This window comes from Homo sapiens, chromosome 3 (assembly GCF_000001405.40).
Source record: "Homo sapiens chromosome 3, GRCh38.p14 Primary Assembly".
In the NCBI taxonomy this organism is placed as follows: Eukaryota; Metazoa; Chordata; class Mammalia; order Primates; family Hominidae; genus Homo; species Homo sapiens.
In genome coordinates, this window is record NC_000003.12 from 149,354,956 (window position 1) to 149,377,659 (window position 22,704).

Consider the following 22,704-nt stretch of genomic DNA (forward strand, 5'->3'; position numbering starts at 1 on the left):
GCTATGTAGCAGTAAATAATGAATAAGTGCTTTTCCAAGGTTACCCCCTGAACAATCCTGAGAGATAGTTACTGTCATATTTAACTTAATCTGAGATGCCTCAATTTGAAGATGACCCATCTATGAGCCCTTCTGTCCATGAGCTAGTCTATGAAATAGTTAAAAGGGCAAAAAATGCTGCTAATGAATCTATGACCTGCCCTCAATTGTAAGATACACGCAAATTTCAGGTATGTTATCGGGTGACAAAAATGTGCATCTTATAATTGATGAAACATATTATCTGCATTTTGTAACAGGGATTTCTTCTCATACACTGGGAAAATAAAAGCTTTCTTTTCATCCTCATTATTCGGCTTGATGAGGAGTAGCCAGTCAGTATATGTTTGTTGAAAGGTTTTGTTCTTAATAGAGATGGATATAACATGACTTCTAGGATAAAGCAGGACTCAGAAGAGAGTTTTTTGTTTGTTTGTTTGTTTGTTTTTGAGATGGAGTCTTGCTCTGTCGCCCAGGCTGGAGTGTAGTGGCGTGATCTTGGCTCACTGTAAGCTCCGCCTCCCGGGTTCACGCCATTCTCCTGCCTCAGCCTCCCGAGTAGCTGGGACTACAGGCGCCCGCCACCACACCCAGCTAACTTTTTGTATTTTTAGTAGAGACGGTCTACTAAAAATACAAAAAGCAGAGGATGGTCTCAATCTCCTGACCTCGTGATCCGCCCGCCTCGGCCTCTCAGAGTGAACACAGATCTTGTTCTTAACTATTAATCCGCATGGGAAGTGTTTTGAAGACATAAATTCTTCTCATTCTCATGTTAATCAAAGGAAGGCTCTTTTCCAGATTCTTAATCAGCACTGTCCTCTACATTTTATTCTGCTTAATTGAGAATGTACTGCCTATGGGACCCTTTAAAAATCAGCCTAAGGCAGTTCCCAGCTCCTTAGAATAACTGACACTGAATGTCTACTCCATGCCAGCATTCTCACTTACGTTACCTGAGCCAGACATTATCATTCCCGTCGGACATATGAGGGAAGAGAAGCTGAAGGATGCTATGAAACTTGCTTAAGATCACAAAACTAAAAAATGATAGAAGCTGGAGTTCTACCAGGCTGTTCTCACTGCTCCCCTTCCCATGTCACTGCACCTTCTCTAAAGAATGGTGGTGTGGCCCATCCCTTGGCCTTAAAGGATTTTCACCGCAAAGCAAAAAAGGCAGCCAAGTTGGGCGAGAGTTTTCAGAGACCTCTCAATGTGCCTTTTACGTGAATAACATGCTGTCTCTCATCTTGGGAACACAGAGTGTTTCATAAACATTATCTCATTAGACCTCACAACGCCAGACATTTTCAAACAAACGAGTTAATGTTTGCAGAAAGTCCTTGAGATATGAAGATTGTAGGCACAGTATGAATGTACAGCATTGTCCTAAAGCCTGAACAGCTGTCAAAGGGTCACAGCCTTGGAGAGCTTTCCTATGAAAATGTCAGATTTTTCAAGTCATGGAGATGGAGGCAGGAATGGAGCTGGTCAGGTCCAACGAAGCCATCTCTGGTTGGGGGATGGAATAGATGTATAATTCAGAGATGCCAAAGGGAATTCCACTGGCAACTCAGATCAATTATTGATCCTGCTTGACAGGCTGAGGAGAGGTGGATTTCAAAGCCTAGGCTCACTGGCAAGCAGAATGAGTAGCGATGTTTGCCATGGGGGTAGAACTGAGTGTTGGAAGCATATGTTCTAGGAATTTACCATTCTTGAGATCAGTGATTCTCAATCATGGCTTTATACTAGAATCATCCGAAGAGCTTTTAAAAATACTAATACCCAGGCGTTGCTCCAGATCAAATGAGTCAGAATTTCAGCAAGTGGGGCTTGGTCATCTATATATATTTTTTAAAGTGCCTGGGTAATTCTAACTGGCAGTTCTAATCTAACTCTAAGTGAGATTCAAGTGGTGAGTCTAACCTAACTCTAATTGAGTAGCATTCTCTAGGGCAGTAGTTCTCAGCCTTGGCAGTACTTTGAGATTCATGGGCTCTATTAAAAACTTACTGATGTCTAGGTCGCACCTCATATATCCTGAGGTAATTGATTTGGGGTTTGGCCTAGGCTTTGGGAATTTTGAAAGCTGTTGGGTGATATTTTTAATGCAGACCTTATTTTATTTTATTTGGTTTTATTTTTCCAAATATACAATTTGTTGGGCCTGTTCCTGCATCTTCACCAGAAGCTGGAGCACCTCCGCACTAGGTGTTTCTGGTGTAAATTATTTGAGCTCTGTGCACTGAAACTAGTTTGATAAGTCTGTTACTAAACAGCTCCTGAAAGGCTGCCCTGGACAGACAACTTTTAATTTTCAGTCTCTCAGAGACCTCAGTTGGGGTTATAAGCTTACTGTTGGGACTTTCTTACTGAGTATGTCATATGTAGCTTTGTCAAACAAGACTAGGTTATTGAGCTTGTCCCAAACTTTGCCTTTGGACCACTTCTTCTTTCTGTCCTTGCCACCAGATTTGTTCATTGGGTCTCTGTCTTTCTTGTCTGACTTTCCAGTGTCTTTCTTCTTCCTGTCGTCCTTGGGCAGCATCGCGATGCCCAGGGGACAGCAGCAACCACTTTAACCTCGCTAAGATGTCAGACAAAAAGCTATTTAGTTTTAAGATCACTTTTAAGTTCACAGCAACATTGAACTGAAAGCAAAGAGGGGTCAGCTCACATATACCTTCTTTCCCCACCCCCAACCCTGCAGCCACCTCCATACACACAAAATCTCCCTCACTTCCAACATCCTGCATCAGAGCAGTAAATTAGTTGTGATTGATGAACTTCCACTGACACATCATTATCACTAAAAGTCCATAATGTACATTAGAGTTCACTTGCTGTTGTATATTCTATCGACTTGGACAAATGAGTAATGACATATATCCACCATTATGATGTCATACAGAGTAGTTTCACTCTCTTAAAATTCCTTTATGCTCCACCTATTCCTCCCTCCCTCCTCACTAACACTTGGCAACCACTGATCTAGTTACTGTCTCCATAGTGTTGCCTTTTCCGTGGCATTTATAGTTGGAATCATACCATATGTAGTATTTTCAGATTGGCTTCTTTCACTTCATAATATACATTTAAGGTTTCTCCATGTCTTTTCATCATTTTATAGATCATTTCTTTTTAGTGCTAGATAATATCCCACAGTGCAGAAGTCCAGATGTATCACAGTTTATTTATTCATTCATCTACTGAAGGACATCTTGGTTGCTTCCAAGCGTTTTGGCAACTATAAATAAAGCTGCTTGCATAGATTTTTGTGTGAATATAAAATTTCTACTTATTTGGGTAAATACCAAAGAGTGTAATTATTGGATTGTATGGTAAGAGTATATTTAGTTTTGTAAAAAACTGTCAAACTGTCTTCTAAAACTGCATTCCCATCAGCAACGGATGAGAGCTCTTCTTACTCCACATCCTCACCTGTATTTGGTGTTGTCAATGTTAAGGACCTTGACCATTCTAATAGGATTATTATGGTATCTTGTTTTAATTAGAAATCTCTACTGATATCTGATGTTGAGCATCTTTTAATATGCCTATTTGTCTTCTGTGTGTATTTTTTGATGATGTGTCTGGTCGGGTCTTTCATCCATTTTTTAATCAGGTTGTTTGTTTTCTTATGTTGAGTTTTGAGAGTTCTTTGTATATTTTGTGTAACAGTCCTTTAACAGATAAGTATTTTGCAAATATTCTCTTCCAATCTGTTATTTGTCTTCTGATTCCTTTTGATAGAGTCTTTCGTGGAGCAGAAGATTTTAATTTTAGTGAAGTCCAACTTGTCAATTATTTCTTTTATAGATTGTGCCTTGGGTGTTATATCTTAGAAAGTCATCTCCATAGGTCATCTATGCTTTCTACAATGTTATCTTCTGGGAGTTTTATAATTTTACATTTCACATTTAGGTCAATGATCCATTTTGAGTTAATTTTTGTGAAAGGTATAAGTTCTGTGTCTGGATTTCTTTTTTGGCATGTGACGTTCAGTTGTTTCAACACCATTTATTGAAAAAAACTGTCTTTTCTCTATTATATTGACTTTGCTCCTTTGTCAAAGATCACTTGCCTATATTTATGTGGGTCGATTTCTGGGCTCTATTCTGTTTCATTGATCTATTGTTCTATTCTTTCACCAATACTATATTGTCTTGATGACTGTAGCTTTTATAGTAAGTCTTGAAGTCAGATCAGACAGTGTCAGTGCTGTAATGCTGCTCTTCTCCTGCAACATCATGTTGGCTACTGTGGATCTTTTGCCTTTCCATATAAACTTTAAAATCAGTCTTGACACCCATAAAATGACTTGCTGGGATTGCATCAAACTAAAAAGCTTCTGCACAGCAAAGGAAACAATTGACAAAATGAGAAGGCAACCTATGAAATGGGAGAAAATATTTGCAAATCATATATCTGATAAGTGGTTAATGTCCACAATATATAGGGAACTTAATAGCAACAAACAAACAAACAAACAAACAAACCCAAATAGACATTTTTCCAAAGAAGACAAACAAGTGGCCAACAGGTTTATGAAAAGGTGCTCAGCATCACTAATCATCAGGAAAATGCAAATCAAGACCACAATGCCATATCACCTCACACCTGTTAGGATGACTATTATGAAAAAGACAAGAGATAACAAACATTGTCAAGGGTGTGGAGAAAAGGGAACCCTTGCGCACTGTTGGTGGGAATGCCTTTAACATGAGTACAGCCATTATAGAAAACAGTATGAAGCTTCCTCAAAAAAATAAAACTAGAACTAATATATAATCTAGCAATCTCAATTCTGGGTTTAATACATTCAAAGGAAATGAAATCAGTACCTTGATGAGATATCTATACTTCCATGTTAATTTCAGTATTAAGTGTCCATTGACAGATGAATAAAGAAAATATATATGTGAAATATTTAAGTCATAAAAAAATAAGTAAATTCTTCAACTTTCAACAACATGGGTGAACTTGCAGGACATTGTGCTAAGTGAAATAAGCCAGATATAGAAAGAAAAAAATACTGCAGGATCTCACTTATATGTAAAATCTTAAGAAGTTGAACTTATAGAAGCAGAGGATAGAATGATGGTTGTCAGGGGTCTGATGGTGGGGAAAATCAGGAGATGTTGGCAAAAGATACAGACTTTCTGATATAAGATAAGTAAATTCTGAGGATTTAATGTACAGCATGGTGCTTATAGTTTATAATACTGTATTGTATACTTGAAATTTGCTAAGAGGGTAGATTGTAAGTGTTCTCACTGCACGCATACACACACACACACACACACACAGAAATGGTAACTATGCGGAGTGATGGATGTGTTAACTTAATTGTGGTAATCAATTCACAATGTATATGTATATCAAATCATCACATTCTACATCTTGAATATATAAAATTTTTATTTATTCAGTTATACTTCAATAAAGCTGGGAAGAAGAATCCCAAAGTCCTGTGAGGAAGGGGAAAATGGGGCAAGAACTAAGGAGGCAATTGTATAATAGAACTACAGTTCTAATTTTTTGTGGCCAAAGTAATCATATCTGACACATAACTTTATAGTTTATGATGAATTTTCATATGGGATCTAATTGAACCATCCCAATCTTGGTATTCAGGTAGAGATAATATTATAATCTCTATTTTACAGATTAGGAAACTGAGGCTCAGAGAGAAAAAGTGACTTGTCCAAGATGAGCAACCACGACCCAAACAAAAGATTCTTGAGTGAAGCCCAGCACCCTGTTTCTTCAGTTATTCAAATCATATGGTTGCTCAGCTACTTAAAGCTACTTTCTATGTACTTCACAGTTGTTATTTAATTCCCTGTGACATTAAGAACACAGTTGTCATTTAATTCTCTGTGACATTAAAGAGAGACTAATTTCCAAAGAAAAAAAATTAATATTCACAAAGCCAAATGGGAGAAAAAAATGCCTACTTCTGGTCTATGGGAACTGCTTAGTTTGCTGTACCTTCAAACCTGTTTCTGAGTGTTGCCAATGGAAGAGTGGAAGATGGGGAAACATGGAAAGGGTGGTGGTTAAGGAGGGCCCAGGGAGCCTCTGCAGCCCTCCTTATTCTTTTTCTCTGTACCTGAGCCCAGTTCTCCCACCTGGCATGGCTCTACAACCATGAAACCCTGATGCCCTCACATGCATAAGAAGCCCTGACAAAGTGGATGTGGATATTTCTCTCACTCTGCAAAATGAGACTCACGATGACCTGCAATGTGATGCTTCTTTGGGCCAAAAAAAAAAAAAAAAAAAAAAAAAACACAAAAAACCACCCAATTGCTTTCAGGTTGCCTGACTCACAGGGCACCTTGATGCTCTGGCCAGGGACACTGAAGACTGAATCACCTAGCTTGCCTTTGCAGAAACTATTTACTAATATGTCATTTCATTTCTGTCTTTTTCCAACCTTAAGCTTTATGTGCCCCTCATCCACAGCATGTCCTTGCCGCCCATGCCTCTACTCCCATGCATAAAAGGAGGCGTAGGCAAATGTACATGGAAGTCTCTTTTCAACCTCTGCAGGGGATTGTAGGTGAAATATACTATTGCCCACACTTATGTACAAGGATACCCTATGATAAGCATTACTGGGATTAAGAAATATTGAGCGGTATTTCTATCTCTGAAATTCTATTGTCTCTCCCACTTAGAGAAGACTATTACAAGTCAGCTACGATAGGACTTTTTTTCTCCAAAGTTGTGACATTGGAAATCAGGACTCCCCTTACAAACCCAGGTAGCTGATTTGTTTAAAGGACACATAGTATTTTCCTAGAGAATTGGAGCAAGAACAACAGGGTAGAAGCCCTGCAGACCTGTTTGAGTGCAGAAGACACGGACAAAGCATATCCGTGTTCCCATCCACTGAACAGGCAGCAGCTAATAATGTAATGAATTCTCTTCTGTCATCCTAAGCTTTTGGTTGTCGTTGAAGTACTCTTCTGAACTCCACCTATTATCATTTAATGAGTGTTTGCTATGTTTCCAGCTCTGTGCTTTTTTTTACATCTGCTATTCATTCTCTTTCCAAAGCTGTAGCCCCACGGTCTCATAGTTAAATAATTCAGATGTTTTGAGTTAAATAGGTTTTTACAACAAGACTTTTCAGAGCTAGTGGAAGGTCCATGTGTGTAGTGAATCTTTGGGAAGATTTATTTGGTATATATTATTTCCCAGATTTTTTCAAGGGCGTCTCATAAGACATGTTTAGTTCAGAAGATGCTACTGAGGTCTCAGAGACTGCTATCTCTTTCTCTGTTATGAGTTGAGTTGTGTCTTCTTAAAAAAGACATGTTGAGGTCCATACACTTTAGAGTGCGACCTTTTTTGGAAATACAGGCTTCACAGAGGTAATCAAGTTAAAACGAAGTCATTAGAGTGAGCCTTAATCCAACATGACTGGTGTCCTTATAAAAAGGAAGAAATTTGGACAGAGAGGCAGACATGAGGGATGACAATGTGAGGAGACACAGGGAGAAGATGACCATCTACAAGCCAAGGAATGTCTGACGTTTCCCGGAGCTAGGAGAGAGGTCTGTAACTGATCCTTTCCCAGTGCCTTCAGAGGGAGCATGAGCCTGCTGACACGATTTCAGACTTCTGGCCTCCAGAAACATGAGACAATATATTTCTGTTTTTCTAAGCTACCTACCAGTTTGTCGGACTTTGTTTTGGCAGCCCTAGGAAACTCATATGTTCTTCTAGCTGGGTGGTGGGTAAATCAGGCTCAGTTTCTCCCCTCTTTACTTCTTTATTTTAAAAAATATATTGGAAAACTTCTATCATAAGTATAAAATTAACAAAAATTTATCTCCTTTTCCATTGTAATAGAAGTATCCATTTTTATCTAGGCAAATAGCCAGCTACATTAGAAACAAACTTTTCCCGCAAAAGACCACAGAATAAATATTTCAGGCTTTGTGTGACATGTAGTCTCTGTCAACTGTTCAGCTCTGCCATTATAGGGGAAAAGCAACCATACACAACATGTAAACAAAACAGTGTTGCTGTATTCCCATAAAATTCCATTGACAAAGCAGGCAGCAGACCAGATTTGTCCCGTGGGCCATAGTTTGCTGACCCCGGATTACTGAGCACCTACTATATGCCAGGCACTATTTTAGAAGTTGGCAATGCAATAGTGAGCAACACAGTCAAGGTCTCTGCTCTCACAGAGCCTGGAAAATCTTGTTCACAGCTGTGTCCTCAGCACCTTGTGCAGTGCATGACATGCAATGAACAATCCATAAATACTGAATCAGTGAGTGACTGGAAGTCCCCCAGGCAGGAAGAGATGAGCCAAACCTTGAGAGTGCTAGGCTAGAGGAAAACTCTGGGAACCTTGGGATGCTAACTAACACAAAACAAAAGAAGCTCCACTAGCAGTTTGATTCCTTGACAACAAACAAACAAACAAACAAACAAAAATCAATGTGTTCTCATACGCACCGAATGCACCAAAAGACATGTACAAAAATGACCACAGCAGCATATTTCCTAAGATCCCTGAAAACAGCTAAGATCCCTGAAAGCAACTCAAATGTCCATCAATAGAATGATGGATATTATTCTACCCCATTGAAACATTTCACACACAAGTTTTGTGTTTTATTTTTATTTATTTATTTATTTATTTTTCATGTCAATGAATTCAAAGGAATCACACATAGGTTTTTGTATAGAAACAGCACTACATTTCTGTAAGAGGTGCTTTTTCAAGATATCTATGTTCACTAGTTGTAGCCTACAACTAGAAGGCTCTGTGTCAAACATTCCACTTGCTACTAATTCCTACCATACCCCTCTTTGTTCCCAGAACATTGTACCCCACATGTACCCCAGAACTTAAAAGTATAAAAAAAAAATAAAAAATAAAAAATAAAAAAAATAATGAAAAAACTTAAAAAAGAAGAAACGAAAACAAAAAGAAAAGGAATGGTGAGAGGAGATAACTTTGCTTTGTACACAGTCTTAGTGGGAAAGTTTCTAGTTCCTCACCTTTAAGTATTACGTTAGCTACTTTTTCATAGATGTTCTTCATCAAGTTGAGGAAGTTCTCCTCTATTTCCAGCTTGCTGGGAGTTTTTATCATTAATGAGTGTTGAATTTTGTCAAATACTTTTTCTATATCTAGTGATATAATCCTGTGATTTTTCCTCTATACCCTGTTGGTGTGATGGATTACATTACTCAATTTTCAAATGTTGCACCAGACTTTGATACCTGAAATAAATACTATTTGGTCATGGTGTTAAAAAAAAAAAAAAAAAAGAAACCCAAAGACAGGAAGCCTTCAGTAAAGATTATGATACGATTGTTTAAGACTGGGGGAAACAGCAAGGCAGGACTTTGAGTTGGTGGTTCAAAGGCTCTTGAGATATAAACTGTTGATGTTTTCTATTGAGGAGATGGTGGATCTTTCAGAGATCCCAATAATAAATAATAAAGTTATTTGCTTAGGAAAGAGTCTCCTGGAATAGTAAAACTGTGCTCAAGAAGAGTATGGAATAATAAAATCATGAGAATGTTAACAGTAAGCTGTGGAGCAGTTTATGGTTTTGATTCTCCTTGCCCAAGTTATGTGAGTCTTGGTGGAGGAGGGAGTAGATGGTTTGGGTTCTTAATATTTGTGGGATTCTTTCATGTATTGAATATATGACAGTTTATTATATGGATATCATCTATCATCTGAGACAGTAGTGGCCATTTCAATTGGCCCTTAGTCTTGCACACGAATCAAGGATATCTGTACACATGTAACAAAGAGGGGTGTGGTGAGGATTAGTAGCTAGTGTAATGCTTGACACAGAGCTTTCTAGTTGCAGGCTGCAATGACTGATCACAGGTACTTGAAATGGCACCTCTTGGGAAACTATTATTGCTCCTATACGAAAATCTGTGTGTGAAATGTTCATAAGAGATCTACTGTCTCTGTCTCAAGGAGTTAGCTACATTAGCTGAGATTACATCCAGAATTGGGGGGCAGGGAGGGAGGAGAGATTGTTTTAATTCTATTTATTTATTTATTTAAGACAGATTCTCGCTCTGTTACCCAGGCTGGACTGCAGTGGTGCCATCTTGGCTCACTATAACCTCGACCTCCTGGGTACAAGCGATTCTCCTGTTTCAGCCTTCCCAGTAGCTGAGATTATAGACATGCACCACCATGCCCAGCTAATTTTTGTATTTTTAGTTGAGATAGGGTTTCGCTATGTTGGCCAGGCTTGTCTTGAACTCCTGACTTCAGGTGATCCGCCTGTCTTGGCCTCCCGAAGTGCTGGGATTACAGGCCTGAGCCACAGCGCCTGGCCTTGATTCTCATTATTTACAAGATTCATCCACGTTGTCTCATGCAGCAGTAGTTTGTTCTTTTTAATTGCTGTATATTAGGAAAGTGTGTGTGTGTGTGTGTTTGTGTGTGTGTGTGTGTGTGTGAGAAAGAGAGAGAGAGAAAGAGAGAAAAAGAGAGAGAGAGAAATGAGAGCAAATAATTGATTCTAGGAAGTAACATGAAATCTAGCTCCAGAAAAACCTAGTAGACTTATTTAACTACAATAATTAAAATATGTGTCTAAATTTGCCAGGACTTGCATACACAAACTATTTAATGTTAAGAGAAGGAGGGCCAGGTAGGGTGGCTCACACCTGTAATCCCAGCACGTTGGGAGGCTGAGGTGGGAGGATCACGACGTCAGGAGTTCGAAACCAGCCTGGCCAACATGGTGAAACCCTGTCTCTACTAAAAATACAAAAATTAGCCAGGCATGGTGGCATAAGCCTGTAATCCCAGCCACTTGGGAGGCTGAGACAGGAGACTCGCTTGAACTCAGGAGGCAGAGGTTGCAGTGAGCAGAGAAAATTAAAATAAGGAAAATCCAAGCTGTAGTACACAAAGCCCTGATAAAAAGCCAATGTTCAAAGTAAAGGTATGCCATTTCGTTTTAAAATACAGAAAACAGATACATGGTTGATATTTGTAAAAATCTTACTTGGTGGCTTGTCTAAGAAGAAACTGTGCACTTAACATTTCCCAAACATGCAATTGAAATTATAGGCTCCCCATTATATTTTTAGCCTATGGTTACTGCCAGCCTCACCTGGCCCATCCCTTCACCTAATTGCAGGCATAATTATTCCCCTGTATTTACTGTAGGATGACTCCTCTGTCCAAGCACAAGAACAATGGTTTTCTTACATACCTGGGGAGTTTCCCTTAAAGACTGCGGGCTCCTCCCTGAATTATTTTAGGACTGAATCTTTCTTCTCATCTCATTTTTGTTTTATTTCTAAAAGTAATATGTGCTTATGGTAGAAATTTCAGAAAGTATAGATAAGCGAAATGAATCAAGACAAAAATCACATTGAATCTGATTGAAATTCCTTTTCAGTAATATATTTAAAGGGTATTTATAATATACATATACCTAGTAGAGAAAGACATAGAACCCTTCTTTTCTATATTTTCGAAACTTTCTCTTTCATGTAATGTTGTGCGGTTCATACATTTACCCTGATTTAACAGCCACTGACTACATTTATCAAACCAATTCCTTGTTATCAGAGATTTAGGCTCTTGCCATTTTTCCTGGTGTTACAAACAATACTCCCATAATTATTACTGGAAACTGAACTATTGTGAACATCCTTGATGATTTTCTTAAAATAAATTTCTACAAGTAAAAATACTTGGCTAAAGGATGTGTAGGCTTTATATATTGTAGACACAGATCACCAAATGGCTTTTCTGAAAAGTTGCATCAAATCCCATACCTGTTCTCACCATGGGTAAGCATCAGAGAAAACAATGAAAAAGATCTCACACACATACAAGAAACTCATACTGTGGTAAAGGTAGCATTCTATCAATTGTCTGAGATTTCAGTGCATGAGATTTCCTTTATGTAGGAATGTATTTGTAAATTTGGTCACTATGGTAAATTGACACTCAGAGGCCACGTGTACTATTCAAGTGATTCAGATTCTACAGTAATTTTTATTGTTTTAATGTTGTCAGGTAAGAATGAGCTGTTTTAGTACAACCCCTGAGGGAGTTTCCAGCCAAATTGAAAGGCCTAGAATATTACAAACCAGGAGCGTAGGCTATAAACAGAACTTAAGGAGGGTGTAAGGTAATTTGTGTAAGCTATTTCCTTCAGGTGATGACAATGTCTACTATTAAAAGATTCACAAACAAGGGGAAATGTTGAGTCACTCAAACTTAGGCTCTAGGATAGGGATGACTAAGGCTCTCAGGGGCCTGTCAAAGTCCCCATTAGGTGGGTGGAGTATCTGAGTGCCAGTGTAGGATAGGAGGAAGACTCTAGCCCCTGGGCCCTGGTGGCAGAGCAGGTAGATGAGGCAGAGGAGAGGAGCAGGGAAAACACCGTGTTCATGTTACACCAACTTGGAGTTAAATCAGTGTTGTTTTTTTTTTTGCTACAGTGTTTTTCATTTGCTAAAGATGTGGCCTTGGACAGATTACTTAACCTCACTGAGCTTTGAGTCTATAAAATAGAGAGAAGTAATACCTTCTAGGGCTGCTGAGAGATTTCAGTGGAATAGTATGTGTAAAACTAATTACAATAAGTGACATACTGAAGGGACTCAAGAAATTGTTGCTGTTATTATGATAATGGTTGATAATTATTATTGCTATGTCCTTTGAGGATAGATTTAGGAAAAAATGATGCTTATGACTGATTATTATGCCTTTTATCTTGGATCCTGTATTGCAGGGGTTTTTAATCTGGTGTCCAAGAATTCCCAAAAGACCCCATGGATAAATAACTGGGGGAGTGGGGTGTTAAACTTAGATGGGAAAAAAGTGTCATTTTTTACTAACTTATAACAAAAATTTAATATTTCCTTTAATTATGACTATGCAACAAACCAAAGTAGCATCAGTAATACTGATCATACTTTGATCTACAATAAAAATTTGCATATGTTTTCATATCACATTAAATTTGCTGCAGGTATCTCGAAATATCATTTTAATTGAAATTGTATTTCAAAAGTATGACAGTTAGGGGGCTGGGGGGCAAGGGGAGGGAGGGCAAATACCTAATGCATGTGGTTGATGATGGGTTGATGGGTGCAGCAAACCTCCATGGCACGTGTATACCTATGTAACAAACCTGCACGTTCCGTCCCAGAACTTAAAGAAAATAAAAAATAATAAAAATAAAAATAAATAAATAATAAATGTGCTTAGCATATTGGCTAACTCTGCTCAGTGAAAAAAAAAAAAGTAGGATAGTTCTTAGACCGACTCCTTAGAAGGCTGTTAGGACACACGTTATTGCTATCCACAGGTGTTGACGTGACAGAGCTGGCTGTCAAGACAACTACACTATATGTTTAAAAAAACATTTTCATAAAATATTCTAGTGTATTGGTTTTCTTCATAATTCTATGCATTTTATGAATTTATGAACATTATTCTTCGAAGGTGTCTGTAGGTTTCACCAGCCTGCCAGAGGGACTATGGTACAGAATAGGCTGAAACCTTCAGTCAGGAGCCGCCCACTGCAGGGCAGCTTGCCCATAGGAGGAGCTCTGCTGTCTAATAGCTGGTTATGCTTCTTTATAAATTTGCTTATCTGTTGTCCAGACCAATGAACACCAAAAACGGAACATTTCTATAGAAAATTCCCAATAAGTCCAGGAATCCTGTCACTTGAAAGAGCCTAACCCTGTACAGTAAGGAGAAAAATGCCTGTTACCCTTCCAGGGAGGCTGATACTTGCAGCACCTGGTAGAAAGGACCAGTGCCTAACTGGGGTGATGATCCCACAGGTACAGCAATGGCAATTTACAGACAGCAGAGAAAGAAGAGGAGAAAGAGGATGAGAGAGTAGGATAAAGAAACAAAAAGACAGGAAGCCGTTAGCAATAGGGGCCACATAACTTGCAAACTGGAAAAAAAAAAGGGGGGGGGGGAGAAAAAAGAGAACTTTTAAGGATAATGAAACTAAACAACAACAACATGGTAGTGAATACTTTATTTTGTTGTAAACAAGTTAGTTTTGAGGGTATTTCCTCGTGGTCCTCCTGCCGTCACTCGTCCCCATGTTCCAATGATGCTGATCAACTGCTTTATTCAGTTTCCCATCTTTCTTCTTGCCCAGTCATCGTAGCCTTTCTTTTTTTAAACACATGATCCCTAGTACTCATCTTTGGAGGACAAAAGGCTTTCCATATGTTAGAAAAATTTGAATCTCATAGTACTCACAACAATGAGCAGCATTGTAAGTTGTGATGCATTCATTTGGATTGGAACATTCTCAATCAGTCCTTCCACTCTAAGTAAATATTTGTTTCTCACAGAACACAAGGCAGTTCAAAGGGCCTCTTGTTAGAGATTTATAGGTGTATGAATGGGAAACATCATACAAGCAGTGAAAACAAAAATCTTTCCAGGTTGTCGGATTTTCTCCTTCTTGGTCTTATAAAAAGCAACTAGACATCTTTAATTTAAAAAATACATGCACATATATACAATAGTGATTGGAATGTTATTTTTATCCAAAACATTATAGAGTTTATCTCAGATATACTGAGTACTGTCACTCAGTCTGTAAATTACCCCCAGAGGGTGGTTTGTTTCCTCATTCCTTAAAAAAAAACAAAAACAAATAAACAAACAAAAAAGAAGTTTACTAAATTTAAACACTGACATCCTGTGAAGATGCCAGTCTTTACAGGCGTTTGTAAAAGTAGACTGTGGGGAGTATGTTACACTAATACAAAGTTTTACAAATGAATACAAGTGAAATATATAAATTACAATGAAATAGAGGAAGATTGTGGCTCTGTCCTGGGTTGGTTCTTTTAGCAGTCATATTGCTGTAGAGAAAATAAAATACCATTAGGCTATAATCAGGATAAATAATGATGACATTTTAGTCCTTTAAGTTCCTATTTTAAGCAAACATAAACAGACTGATCTTAGCTTCAGCAAAGCTTAGGCCAACCATACTTAGGGCTTGGACAATGCTCACAAAATGTTTCCTAAACAAACCCAGATCCCTTGTCTTCCATGAGTAAAGGCTGCAGAAAGGGCCCATAGAAACTGCAGGATACTGATATTGGGTTGCTTTGAGTGCATTTGTGTGGGGTTTTAATCTTAGGGATTTAAAAGATAATGCCATGGAAGTTTCACACTGGTATGAGCTCAATGTGGGTAACCTTTCAAATTAAATGCTACCGAGTTATGGACCTGACTCTTCTACATGAAAAGACCTGCCCTTTGAAAGTGTCTTTTGTCTTATAAACAAAGGTAACAGATCTTCCCTGTAGTATCTGGGAAGAAGCCATCCCTACAGTGACTCAGCTGGGAAACCTGGTGTATTTACTACCCCAAATCAGAGGAGAGTATCATTCCCTGCCAAATCACTTCAGCCATTTTGGTCATTGGCTCTTTATGCCTGTCCCCAAAACGTACTAAGTGAGTACATTTAGTACAAGTAATCACTTACTTTGAACTCTGCCTTGTATGAAATTCAAGGCTAAAGGTAAGCTGCATGACAGCAATCCCTAGAGGATACTTCTCTGCCCTTCCCCAACCGTACTGCTTGAAAGAAGCTCCATATTGAAGGTTTCCCATTCCCTTATTTTCTTGGAAATTTGCCAAAGAAATTATTAATCTTGCTATACTTGCCTGATAAGGAAAACTAGATTTTCATTTTAACCTTCCCCCAAAATTACAGAAAGTTTCCTTTTATTTTCAGCAAAGTTTTTCATGGTAGCAATGGGCTTTCAGTTTTCATTAGGTTTTTGTCTTATTTTTAAAAGAAAGTTAACAGATCTGGCACCAGAGGAGTAAATGGTTTGAAAAATATAAGACATAAAATAACCCTCTCAAAGATAGGATCAAAGCTGGACTTTCATTAATTCAATAATATATATATTTTAGGAGGATATAGAAACAAGAACTTTCACTGCTACAAACAAATGCATTTTTTTCTCCTAAATCATATCCCCAGGAAACAAGTGCTTCCTGGTTTTCTTTCACAACGAAAGGCTTTTCATGAGCTGCTGTTCAAAGATTGCTAGTGATTCTCCATACTTACTGCTTAGGCATTTTTATGACTCCTTATTAGGAAGGAATTGCAGAAAATCCAACCAAACAGCAAGTGTGGAATACAGGTTAAAAGTAGGAGCTTTTGCACAGAGCGACTCAAGGTTTGAAGCCTGTTATTTCCTGAGTAGGTGATCTTAAGCCTATTGCTTAATATTTGAGTCATATGGGTTTAGCATAGTGCCTGATGCATTGAATGGTTGGCTATTACTTATGTATACTAGTTGGGAATATAACAGCAAACAAAGAGCAGACATCACTTTTTTTTCTGTCTCTGCAGCGAGAGCAGAGGCAGTGAATTAGATCCTGAAGGGAGCGCTGTGTCTATGGGCAGCATGTTCTTGTGTACATAGAGCCAACTGCAAAGAACTAAGACAATCCTGTGACTGTGAGACTCGAGGAAGCTTGTTACTGACAGCTAAAGTGAATGCTATAATTGTGTTGCTACAAAGATGATATCAGAATAAATGCTGGTAGGTCGAGCATGTTTGGTTTTGCCTTTTTCTTTATGATGAAAACAATGGTATATTAACACCAGGGCCAGACTACGACATTTTCATGCAGGTTCTTACCTGTTGGTGAGAGCAGCAAAAGCCACATATGCCTCCAAGCACTCCATTTATTACTTGAATAAGACACAAGATGAATTCAATTCCACCAAGAGCCAAGAGGATAGAAAACAGAGATACATTCCATTCCACAATGTGCTTGGGTTCAGTGCACTCGGACCATGTGGAGGTATCCAGAAGGTACCTGTGGGTAAAAAGAGAAACTTCTGACACACGGTCATACTTGAGGGGATACTTCATAAACTACTTTTGTTTGGTGGTTTTTCATTCAGAAAAAAGGAATGAATTATTCAATATCCTGTGTAAGTTTCTTCCACTGCATGTCATTCCACAAAATGGAGGAATTTAGCCCAGATCCTACTGTAATGATAAACATAAAATTATAATTTATAATTTTTGACCCCAATCTAGGATTACATGGTCAGAAATTCTCACCTTATAATGATATTTATATTCCCTAACAGGCATCTGAATTCTTATAAACAAAAATAAAAATGCAGAACTGTATTTGTGCTGTGTTTAAAGCTAGGTAAGATTCATGTATGTGTAGGAAGTAAACTACGAGCAAATGCGGAAAAATGAAAATAATTCATGTGCTAAAGTAGAGTATGTGTAGGTGTTTTTTAAAACTGTTTTCCAATTTTATTGTTGTTATTGGTATAAAAGATGGGTATTTGTATTCAATATTGAGTGAATATTTAGAAAATACAATCTCTTTAGGCTAGTTTTTTTTTTGAACTTTAAAATATTAATTTAGATCATTTTATTACATCTCAATTTGTTACTGCTGAAAATTATCCAAATTCTGGCAAGTTTGGATATTTAATATGCTGGAATTTTTCAACTGAGACCTTTGGAACAAAGCTATTTTTTGTTTTTAAGGAATAAATTAATTTGCAACAGGAAGCAAATTCATGGGATTAAACCCAACTAATTTGATAGCTCTTTACTTTTTTCTGAGACGGAGTCTGACTCTGTTGCCCAGGCTGGAGTGCAATGGCGCAATCTTGGCTCATTGCAACCTCTACGTCCCAGGTTCAAGCCATTCTCCTGCCTCAGCCTCCCAAAGTGCTGGGATTACAGGCGTGAACCACCACGCCCGGCTGATAGCTCTTCACTTTCATGATGCTGTGCCCAAGAGTTGATAATAGCATGTAGCACACTGCATTTGCTCATTCAACAAAGATTATTGAGCAGTCAGTGTGAGTCTGACACTGAGCCAGAGCTGGGGATATAATGGAGCACAGGGCACGGGCTCTGTCCTGAAAGAGCATAGCTTCTAAAGGAAGAGACAAGTCACAAGTAATCTCAATGCAACAGATATGCTGATCGGTAAACAAAATATGGAAGAGCCACAGAGGAAGGGCATCTAACCTAGTCCAGGGAGAACAGCTGCTTATGTATCTATTCAATAAGGCTGAGCTCCATGAAGGTAGGAGCCAGACCTATTCATCATTGTATATCCAGCCGCTAGAACAGTATCTGACACACAATAGCCACTCAGCACATTTTAAAAGCAGTTGAATGATAAATAACAATATGAAGTTGCTTTGTGAAATGTCAGCAAACCATACTGAGGTGATATCTGACTATAGATTCTAGGATTTAGTCGATTTTATAAATACCTGGATATTCTTCCAGTCTGAAAAATTCTACTTCTGATAGCTCTCCTAGAATTTCAGCCTTTGCTACAGAGTATTTGGATTCTTAACAAAATATAATACAATCATGTGGGAAAATCAAGGTTTGACTTAATTCCACAAAGAGGCCTGGTATAATTCTTTTCTTATCACGACTTCCTTCCACAACAGAACAAAGGGGCTTGGAATTTGAGACCTAACTTTAGAATAGTTCATTGAGCCAATCAGAGATTATAGTTGTTCATTTCAAAAAAAGTTCTGTTTTTGTGGCCCTGTCTTTCTGCATGTCAGCAGAACAAAAATCTATATTTTCAGGTCTCAATGTAAAAAAAAATTTTTGGCTCCACCTGGCTCCCAGGCAACTAACCTGTGGCTTGTGACTGTTAGTTATTTCCCATATTGAAATCCTTGGACAGTTTTAAATGAAGAATGACATAGAAGAGGAGGAAGGTTTCTTGTAGAATCCAGAGTGGATAATGGGAGGGGCAAACAGTCAAATAGCTATAAAAACCATTTAGCAATACTACCACCTCTCCCTGCATTCTGGTTGCATAAGTCATGACTTTTCTTAGAAGTCTGTTTGTGCAATAGTTTTGTATGTTTGTACATATGTGAATAGCCATTTTCTACTAGTACATCCAGTATGTTCTGATAAAAGCTGAGTCATGATTGATCACAGTTTTGAACACCAAAATTTCAAACTTCTGTAAGTATCAATTTTCCTTCAAAGGCTACCATTGGGTTATGTTTATTGTAAGGTAGTAGCTAATATTAACAGCTAACAGTGGCAGTTGCACACAATGTGGCAGCCTCTGTGGGGAACATTTTACATATTATTTCATTAATTCTCATGACAATTGCCATTGATTTTATTTTACCAGTGGAGTAACTGAGATGCAGAGAGCTCATTTCACCTTTTCCTACAGATAGGTGCAGAGCTGTGATTGAACCCAGCTAATTCAAATTCATGATCTCATAACTGTGCTAAATTTGTGAGATTCATATATCCTCACTACATGCTTTAAATTCATGGGGTCAAACATTCTTGATAATATAATTTGTTATTAATATTATTTTTAATCATGAATCTCAAAACTAAACCTTTCAAAATTCAACTTCAGAAAGTTGAGTAGGGAAAAGGGAAACTCAGAATCAACTCCTGCTCAAAGAAACATGTCATCCATTCATCACCACATACATCCGTTTCTATCAGCTGTGCTGTTTCTGTTCTTTTCTGGATAACTGATAAAAAAAATAAGTATCAACATAGAATGGTAGAACAGCACAAATTATCCTGATATTATGATTGTGAATAGGCCTTACTTATATAGCTTAATAACTAAAAAAGGGGGCATTGTACATAGTTTGTATGTTTTATATGAGTGTATGTATGTGTATGTTTTATATGAGTGCATGTATACACAGGGGTAAGGGCATGGTTTGCCCTGGGCTTGGGTTAAATTCATATAGTTGCCATTCTTATTATATATGGATTCTATAATACTTTCTTATAAAGTAGTAAAATGTATTACACTTAATCAGGCAATTGTTCTGGTATAATGTATGAAGTAATTGAGATGCACTATATGAACACAAACTCTACATCTAGACTGCCTGGGTTCAAATGCTAACTGCCACTTTCTGGCAACGTGACCTTGGATGAATTACTCCATCTCTCTGTGATTTTGTTTCCTCATCTTTAAAATAGGAAGTCACTTCATAGGGTTATTATAAGGACTGAATTATTGAATCTATTCAAAAGCACTCTGTATTTGGGAAGCTGAGGAAGGGGTATTGCTTGAGCTCAGGAGTTAGAGGCTGCAGTAAGCTATGATTGTGCCACTGCATTCTAGCCTGGGTGACAGATCAAGACCCTGTCTCTGGGGGAAAAAAAAAGAAAGAAAGAAAAGAAAAGAAGCATTTAGAATTTGTTTAGGTCGGGGACTGGGGATCCATCCTTGGATACCTATTGCCTAAACCATGCCTGAGTCAGTGAGAATAAACACTGGCTAGGTGGGTGGATGGATGGATAAGTGGATGCCTATCTGGTTTGATAGAGCTGCCACTATATACATGTGGTGGATAAAAATGTGTAGCCATGTAGAGAGTAATTACATACTGGCCCTCAGTGCTGGCAAAGGTGTAGTTCCACTGGCCGAGGGAATCAAGACATAGTGGTCCTTCTGCTAAGCCAAGGGCTGCCACAATGACACAGTAGCCAGATCCTGCAATTCCAATGAGAGCAGCCAATACAGAAGAAAGCATCTAGGGAAAAGCAGACACACAGGAAGTGAGCCACAGAGTGCCACAGCTACATCTTAGGAGTCATTTTCACCACCAGGGCAGGAGGACCTACCGCACATCGTTTGCCACAGTTTTCATGGCCACAGCAGCCACAGCAGTCATCCTGTTCCAGCCCAATGAAGACAAATGCTGGCAGGAGCATCTGGTTAGGAAACAAACAAAGTCAGGTCATTGTCTTGCTCAGGCTCATATGGGTCAGGTTAGGCATCTCTTGGTAAAATATATTTATTTCCAATGACATTAACTGGCTTTGATTAGGTTGACCAGATATCTCAAAGAATGTAAACCTCTGAGGAGAAAAAGACCATTTAAATGTCATATCTGCTTGTTTTCATGTAATCTGTCAAAGCATTTTTTAGGGTGAGGATGTAACATGGGAGGAGTAAAATAATAAACTGTAAACGTGTTTATTCCACAAGAGTTTATCACACGACCCCAGATAACAAACTCTGTTTTGGAAATATTAAACCCTTTCTTTAAATCTGATTTTTTCCACTTGTAAAATGCAGAATATACCAACAAATCTTTAATAGAATAACTGAAACTTTTTTGTAAATGGGAGACATGAAAGCTATATATAATAAATATTAACTGCTTCCTTGATTATACAAATGCATAGTTTTAACTTAACAATATTAAGCTCTTAAAATATAGTAAATATGAAATACTTCAGGTTCAAGATCGAAAGAAACTTAAGTGTGATGTTATGTTTAAGACAAATAATCATGTTAACATGATAATAATGCTTAAATTTGAGGCAGACGGGCACTGTGGCTCATGCCTGTAATCCCAGCACTTTGGGAGGCCAAGGTAGGAGGGTCACTTGGGCCCATGAGTTCAAGACCAGCCTGGGCAACATGGCGAAACCCCGTCTCATTAAATAAAATAAAATTAAATAAAATCTCATTAAATAAATAATTTAGGGCAGATTTGCCATGCCATAATCAGTGTATTAGGTTTAAATGTTTTACTATCTTTTACTTGATTAAGAAAATTTATCACGTATGGTACCATTCCATAAAATTTCTCCTTAAAATTTTTAATCCCAGCACTTTAAAGTAGCAAACTTAAGTTTGCTCACATTCTTTCCATGCTGTGGTTGAAGCTAATGCTTTCAGCTCCCAGGTTGGCAGGGAAATTCCTCTCACTTCAATCAAAAACAATTCTTGGAAAAAATAACACATTCCACTATTAGCTTCAGACACCGACCTGCTGCTAACTGTAGGGTTTTTCCTAGACGCCACACCCCAGCCTTACATAAAGGAGAAAGCTTAGAGTTCTTTTAAAATAGCAATGCACTCACAATTCATTATTTTTCCCTATCACAGATGGCTGAAAATAAACAGCAGAGAATTTGGATTCAAAACTGTTGATTTAGGCAGAGAACCAGCCAACCCCTTCCGGCTCCCCAGAGCAAATGTTAAATGACTGCCCGTTCTAGTAGAAACTCTATAGTCTCTCAAATCTGATTTAAAAGCGAATATCTGTTTCCTACCTATAGAGTTTAGCAAAAAGGCAGTTCACTTTTAGTTGAAAGAGCATTTTGTAAAACAACATCTCATAAAATTACTACGCTATACTGTACCAATCTCGCTTTTGTATAATCTGCTTTCAAAGGAATGAACAGCAACAAAAAAGTCACTTGATTTAGAAATATGCATTACAAAAAACTTTCCATGAAAATACATAATGAAAACATCTAGGAAACAGGAGAGAATTCAGTAATAATCCTGAATGACTTACCAGCAGGCCACCTCCTACGATGCCAGAAAAGAACCACACGAAGCGGCTGAGGTGGTTTTCGGAGGCATACTTTGTTTCCCCATTGGGAAAGTAAAGCAAAATATTAGCCGCGATGCACAGGAGGGCGAGCCCCACCAGAGAATGTCCGATGCATCGTGCACACTTCCCATAGCACATGGTGGTCTGCTAGGTTTTCTCCCCCTTCTCTTTGTCTTCAGCTCAGTGATACCCCAAATTAGATGAAAGTGTGCCCTTCTGGTGGAGAAAGCAAACACCACTCTCAGCCCAT

The 22,704-nt window shown here is 38.2% G+C and overlaps 1 protein-coding gene and 1 pseudogene across 3 annotated transcripts; both read right to left on the minus strand.

The window, feature by feature from the left end:
- On the minus strand, window positions 2,168-2,649 carry RPS25P5 (ribosomal protein S25 pseudogene 5; annotated as a pseudogene).
- On the minus strand, window positions 14,067-22,694 carry TM4SF1 (transmembrane 4 L six family member 1). Of its 3 annotated transcripts, none has more exons than NM_014220.3 (5): window positions 22,416-22,694; window positions 20,725-20,814; window positions 20,488-20,633; window positions 16,732-16,912; window positions 14,067-14,925 (listed from the first exon to the last, which is right to left on the minus strand). In NM_014220.3, exons 1-5 carry the CDS (start codon window positions 22,590-22,592, stop codon window positions 14,911-14,913), a joined length of 609 nt encoding a protein of 202 aa, NP_055035.1. In that variant the 5' UTR covers window positions 22,593-22,694; the 3' UTR covers window positions 14,067-14,910. The 3 variants fall into 3 exon arrangements, with proteins under 3 accessions (NP_055035.1, XP_016861874.1, NP_001397766.1); XM_017006385.3 differs by having other exon boundaries at window positions 16,712-16,912; NM_001410837.1 differs by lacking the exons at window positions 14,067-14,925; window positions 20,488-20,633 and having other exon boundaries at window positions 16,647-16,912.
- Window positions 22,695-22,704: the final 10 nt, after the last annotated feature.